This window comes from Homo sapiens, chromosome 4, assembly GCF_000001405.40.
Source record: "Homo sapiens chromosome 4, GRCh38.p14 Primary Assembly".
Lineage (NCBI taxonomy): Eukaryota > Metazoa > Chordata > Mammalia > Primates > Hominidae > Homo > Homo sapiens.
Genome location: NC_000004.12, coordinates 141291606 through 141298239, shown reverse-complemented (window position 1 = coordinate 141298239; position 6634 = coordinate 141291606). Strand labels below are relative to the sequence as shown.

Genomic DNA, 6634 nt, shown 5'->3' with positions numbered 1-6634 from the left:
GCCGCAGCACACCAGCCTGGGTGAAAGAGTGAGACCCTGTCTCAATTAAAAAAAAAGAAAAAAGAAAAAAGAAAGAAAGAAAGAGAGAGAGAGAGATAACTGTGAGTCTTTTCCTAAATTTCTTCATCTGCCCCCTTTCTAATTTGTTTGCATTCATTGAACTTAGATGTCCAAATAATCAAAACCCATTACTAACTGGCTTTTACTAAAATCACTTCTTCACTTTCTCAATAGTTATATTAAAATGACCAACATTCTTTATCTGTTTATTAATGTTTAAATATTAACAAATTTCATTAAATTAGCTCAACCAAATAACGTTCTGGTACATAAAAATTAATTTGAAATATATAGTAATATGATCCTTTTGTAGTTCATGAGCATAATGATTGGGTGTTCGCATACATGTGTGAGATGTGCCACCCTCTGAACCTAGTTACAATGTGGGGATATTACCTGTCTGACCTGAAAAAAAAGAAATATATATTAATAAAGTAGTTAATCGTTTGAGGTTTGAAATAGACTTTCACAGAAATTCAGTTGGAAATTCACAGATTGTATGACAGAAACAAGATCTGTAGTTTACAATACAGAAATCCCCTAACACATTATTTATTTAGAACAGCACTGCCAGGTCACAAGTAGTGTCTAGATAACCTGGAAAGCCAAGAATTGGCTAGAAACCCAGTCATGGATAAAGCTCTGAAGTTGAATTAATTTATAAAATAGAATGTGATTCACTTTGAGTTATCAAACAAACATAATTTATGAGCTTCCTCTTTACCTTTGTTTTTGTTTTGTTTTTCTGGGGGTTTTTAATCAGCTTTCAGTCTAGAGGTTGGGGGTATATTCTTATCAGCTGACCAGAGACTATAAATAGAATAGACAATGGAAAGAGCCTCCATTCATCCATCCATTCATTCATTCATTCATTCTCCAGAATTCTAGTATATACAAATTTGTTTCTAATGCCTAGAAATTAGAAAAAAAGAAGGTCACTGCTCTGCTGGTCAAAAGGGCAAGTAAAATATATTTTCTTTAAGAAGGGCAAAAAGATATTAACCACAGGTGATATAATTAAATTATTTCATTATTTTAAAATTGTGGTTTCCAGGCCCTACACCTACTTGTTTAGAAGCTATGATATGCCAGTCACTGGCTGGTACTGAGCAGGACAGCAGGATCCCTGCCTTCATGGATCTGAAAGTCTAGTGAAGCAGAAAGAGAAGTAAATTGGTGATTACAAGTGGTACTTAAAGTACAAAATTCTATGGCATAATAGGAAAGGGGGCCAACCCAGAATGCAGGCATTAGAACCTCTTTCCAGGTGAAAGAAGGGTATCTAAGTTGAAATCTGCAGGGTATTGACAAATATTTGCTGTTAATTATCAAAGCAATAAAAAGTAACATAATAATATATAACTTTTTACATATTAATACTTGCAATTTTTTTTTTATTCCTGTGTTCACAAGGGTTTGGGGTAGCAGGAAATGGCCTGATAGAGTACTGGCGAGAATAAAAAAATTGGTATTATCACTTTCAGTACAATGTGGCAATATACATCAAAAAATATAGAAATATGTGTACATTTGACTTACCTAAAATACCAATTCTCAATATTTGCTTTAAAGAAAAATATATGGACAAACTATCTACATTACCATCTAAATGTCTAACTATATAGTGACAATTAAATAACTAATAGTACATTCATATAATGAAACAGCACTAAGTTATTACAACATTGGTATAAAGAAATATTTATTAACATGTATACAATCATGATATATTAAGTAAAATGAGAAGATTACAAACATATGCATAATAGAAACCCTTTTTGGTTAAACACACACACACAGAGTTCTGGAATGATATAAAAAGTGTGTTAAATAAAGTTATCTTTGGGTAAGAAGATTATACTTTCTTTTTTGGGAGGACTTTGTGTGTGCCTCTATTACTAATTTTTTACATTAAAAACATGCTGCTTTTATAATTCCAGAAACAAAAGTGATGGGATCAGGACAAATATATTAAATCATAAATATTTTTAATCCCACCCTTCTTTCAGCTCCTAAGGAGAAGCAATAATAAAAAAGAGGTGCCATGTAAGAAAAGAATCTAGAGAGGCCCACCCAGCAGGAGCACAGCTAGGTGTGGAGCTCACGGCAGAGCAGATCACCAAAGGCTTTGCAGGCCCAGAAAGAGGAGCCTTGACTTTCAAAGAGTCATAGGACCCTTCATAAGCTATTCTAAGCCTTCCACATCCAGGGAAAGCATTTGTTACAGAGGAACAAGGTAACAAAAGAGCTCAAGGAAAAGAGGCCTTGAGGAAGTAAAACTCTACATTAAAGATGAGGCTGTCCTCAACACAGCCAAAAATGATTTTTTAAGACATCGTATTAGATTATGTCACTCTTCCATTCTAATCTCTCTAACAGCTCGTCTTTCAACCACAGTGAGCCAAATTCTTTACATGGTCCCACAAGGTCTGACACCTGACAATCTTTCTGACTTTTTCTTCTTCTGCGATCCCTGTCTCTTACTGCACTCCAGACTAGCCTCCTTGCTATTCCTCTAATATACCAAGCACAATCTCACCTTGGAGTTTGTGCTGGCTGTTCCCTCATCAAGAATGTTGTTCCACCCACTTCCATTTGGTTAACTTCCTCCCTGCCTTCAGATCTTTGCTTAAATGTCACCTTTGACAAGTCCCACTTTTACCACCACATTTAAAGATGCAAACGTCTTTCATATTAACCCCATCCCATACTTCCAATTGCCCCATCCTGCTCTATTTTTTTTCATAGCATAATCACTTTCTATCTTCCAACTTATTTATTATGTTGATTATTATTTGTCTGTGTCCTTGCTACCAGGCCAGAGCTTTTTGTTTATATAAGCACTGACATATCATAAATATCTAGAACAATGCCTAGTACTCCATTGTTCTTAAAAGATAATTTTCAATAAATAAATGAGTGAATAAAGCTGCATGCTTATTTCATGCTTCAACTTTGAGTTAACTTAGAGTCTGGTTACCTTTAGGGAACCATGTAAATTAAGTATAAGAAAATCTAAAATAATTATAAGGCCTTAGAAAGGTTCTGCTGGGGTATTTGGAGTTATAATATCAAATAAATATTCAAACTGTTGTATGCTATCAGTGTCATTCTTAAGCTCTCATCTCTAAGATCTTATGTTGTAAAAAATAGCTTTTAATTTGATATCTAGGTTTTGGTTTCATCACCTGTAAGATGAGGAGATTGCACTAAACCATCATTTTGATTTCTTCTAAAGGTTTGGAATTTCACACTTAAGAATGTCAGGTATTTGTCCCAGTATTGTGGACTGAAATATTGCCAGTCATAGCCCCTCACAAAATATGTTGACTAGCCTTTTTTGATATAAAACTGCCTTTAATTCATATTCTCCTTTTCTGGATTCTTCTAGAAAACATAAAAATTCAAACATATGTTTATAAATACACAAAAGCAAGAAAAGAAAAATTGAGACATTTCTCTTAATCTGAAAAAACCTCTGAATTTTGGAAATTATTAAAAATGCTAACAGGACAAAACACATTCTTTTCTTAACACCATTTGAAAACAAGACTGTTTAGAAATATTTCATATGACAACATTTGCATGTAGTGATTTTGAAAGAGGAGGGATTCTCCTTTTTTTCCCTCTCCATCAACTTCTCTTCTGAAAAAAATTAGTACTTTCACTATTGCATAACCTGGTAGAGTTTATGAAAGTACAGCTTCCATCATTTTTTCCTGTTTTTTACTATTACTTTGAAGGTTTCTTCTATTTTCAGCTTTTGATGGCGTCACAGTTTCATAAAAACGTGAAGACATATTAAATTCCTAAGTTCAACAGCATTTAAATCCTTTCAGAATCATTGCAAATTCATTAAAACTAGAGAAAGCAAGTGACTAATCTGTAAATTCAGCATTGTTTGAATTTACAAAGATTATACTTTTAAATTTAATATATGAGAAAATATGATTTTATGAGCAAACCATACATAGATAATATGCCTTCAATTTTCCTAAACTATGAAGGTAAACATGTCAAAAAATGAGTTAAGTTTTACATATTTTAGTATTAATCTTCCTCTGTCTTTGCCACTCAAACTAGGAAAAATACTTTTATGCCTTCAAAATTCGATGAAATATTGCATCTTTAAATATGAACACTTCAGTGTTACTGCTTCATCAATGAACAATTAGATGTTTAATGTGTTACAATGATCTTCACATTAATTTGCCTGGAGTGAAAACAGGAGCTCCACACAGGATTGATCAAATGACTTTTAAGTTCCCCAATGCTAAATTGTTTCAGAATACAAATGGAAGTGCATTATAGCCACATGAGCACTCAATGAATTCCTAATGAGCAGATGCCATTAGAGTGATTGCAATATATAATGACATTACCTGCAGATGAAAGAAGCACCCAGCACTCTGCATTTGAAACCTGGCATTGCAATGACATTCTTTGCTGGATCAATTCAAGTCTCATTCAGACTGCAAATGAATGTGCTCTAGAAGAAGGTATTTTATAAATGGATTAAATGGATAGCTTTTTTTTTTTTCCAAAATTCTTAAATGTCCCTTACTTTCCCTCAGAAATCATCTTTTCTTTAACTGGGGAATGCCAGACTAAGATTTCCAAAAACCTGATAAATGTTTACATCAAATGAACCACCATGCCCCCTCTTCCTCCATAAAGCGCCTTGAATTTCTTCTTTCAGGGGCCACATTAGTACAAGGGTTATAATGGCGTAAAATAAGCCCTGAGAGAGAGAGAATTTCAAGGAAGTGTCCACATCAAAACAAAAACTGCTTCATTCACTGCATTTTTTCAAGAACAGGGATTTCTAGAGTAGAGACAATGTCAAATCTTCAGTCATTATTTATCAAAATTGGACACACATAATATTTACTAATGTTTATTGGGTTTTTTTTGTTTGTTTGTTTGTTTTTGAGACGGAGTCTCGCTGTCGCCCAGGCTGGAGTGCAATGGCGCGATCTCGGCTCACTGCAAGCTCCACCTCCCGGGTTCACGCCATTCTCCTGTCTCAGCCTCCCGAGTAGCTGGGACTACAGGCGCCCGCCACTATGCCCGGCTAAATTTTTTGTATTTTTAATAGAGGCGGGGTTTCACCGTGTTAGCCATGATGGTCTCGATCTCCTGACCTCGTGATCCGCCCGTTTAGGCCTCCCAAAGTGCTGGGATTACAGGCGTGAGCCACTGCGCCCGGCCGGTTTTCAATTTTTATAGCAGCTACAAAGTCCTTTTCTGCTGTGCAGTTGGGATCCCATTCACTCCTTCTATGGTGTACTGTGTTCACCCATAAAATCAAACAAATGGAAAAATGTCCTCCTTATGCTTCAAAAAATTATCTTTTTGGAGCCAGGACAAGTAGATTAGAACCCAGACATTATGTCCAGTGCATTTCATCTGAGATGGCGCAAGTGAAAAAGGGGAAAGGTGCCAAAGCTTCACAGTGCTTAGAAAAAAAAAGAGAGTTAATTACCAAAAGGCAGTGCAGTCAAAAACATGTGTGGAAGGCAAAACAGAGTGACTGCCTGTTAAAGTACAACGTAATTAGAAACAAAAGTGGTATGCATGGATATCTGTCAGAACTGGTTGGTTTATGCTGTAGTAACAAAAAACACCACCATAATATCAGAGATTTAGTGCAAAAAAACTGTTGTTTCTCAGTCACCCAAAGTCCTTCATACCCCCTGAAAATGTCTGTCCTGAAGGTATGGGCTCTGCTTCGATTAGCTGCATTGATTACATGGCACTATCCTTGTAATAGTGCTCCCGAGGTCACCACAGCAAAGGAGTGTGCTGGGCAGTCTCATGTGGATAGTAAGTACTTCCGCACCAAAGCATTGTTTGTCACTTCTACTCACATTTTGTTGGCTAAATTGAGTCACGGTATCACGTCAATCTTCAAGAAAGAGTGGAAATACAATCCCTTTCCCACCAATATCCCCCAACACTGTGTGCCTAAAAAGAGTAAAACCTGAAACACTGGAGAGCAACCCAAACATCTTCCACACCATGGAAAACCAAATGAATCAAAATTTCCTTCTAGATGTCAAGCTACATATTCCCCAACCTACACTGACTTTGTCCTAATCATTTCTTTACAAATAAACTTATGTGGAATTATGGAATATAAATTCTCATGGAAATATGGATGGAGCAGTTAAGTAAATTAATATTAGTGGAATTAATCATTACATAAAAGATGGTTAAGAGTATTTTATCCTTAATGTCAAAGCAGATAAAACAAATAAGAGATATTTATTTTGAACAAATTTTGATAGGTAAAATTATACTCGTTTATTAAAGTGAACTAAAGAATGACTACATTGATAATCAGACCACTGCAGCCACTGCCAACACCAGCACAGACCACTTGGAAGCCAATATATTATCTTGCCAGTGCCACAGCCATTGACCGCACCATGCCTGCTGCCCAGGGGCCCAAAAACCCGCCCACCCACCTGGCTCACTGCGGCCATTGCCAGCACATGAGCAAGCTGCCTGGAGACCTAAGAATTGGCCTCCCCAGACCTGCTAATACCAATGCCAGTATATGTCACTCTGG

At 36.0% G+C, this 6634-nt stretch overlaps 1 non-coding gene across 1 annotated transcript; it reads left to right on the top strand.

Annotated features, from left to right (window-relative positions):
• Positions 1-361: 361 nt before the first annotated feature.
• LOC124900902 (small nucleolar RNA U13) lies at positions 362-466 on the top strand. Its single transcript, XR_007058544.1, has one exon. It is a non-coding gene; the product is annotated as a small nucleolar RNA U13 (small nucleolar RNA).
• The last annotated feature ends 6168 nt before the right edge of the window (positions 467-6634 follow it).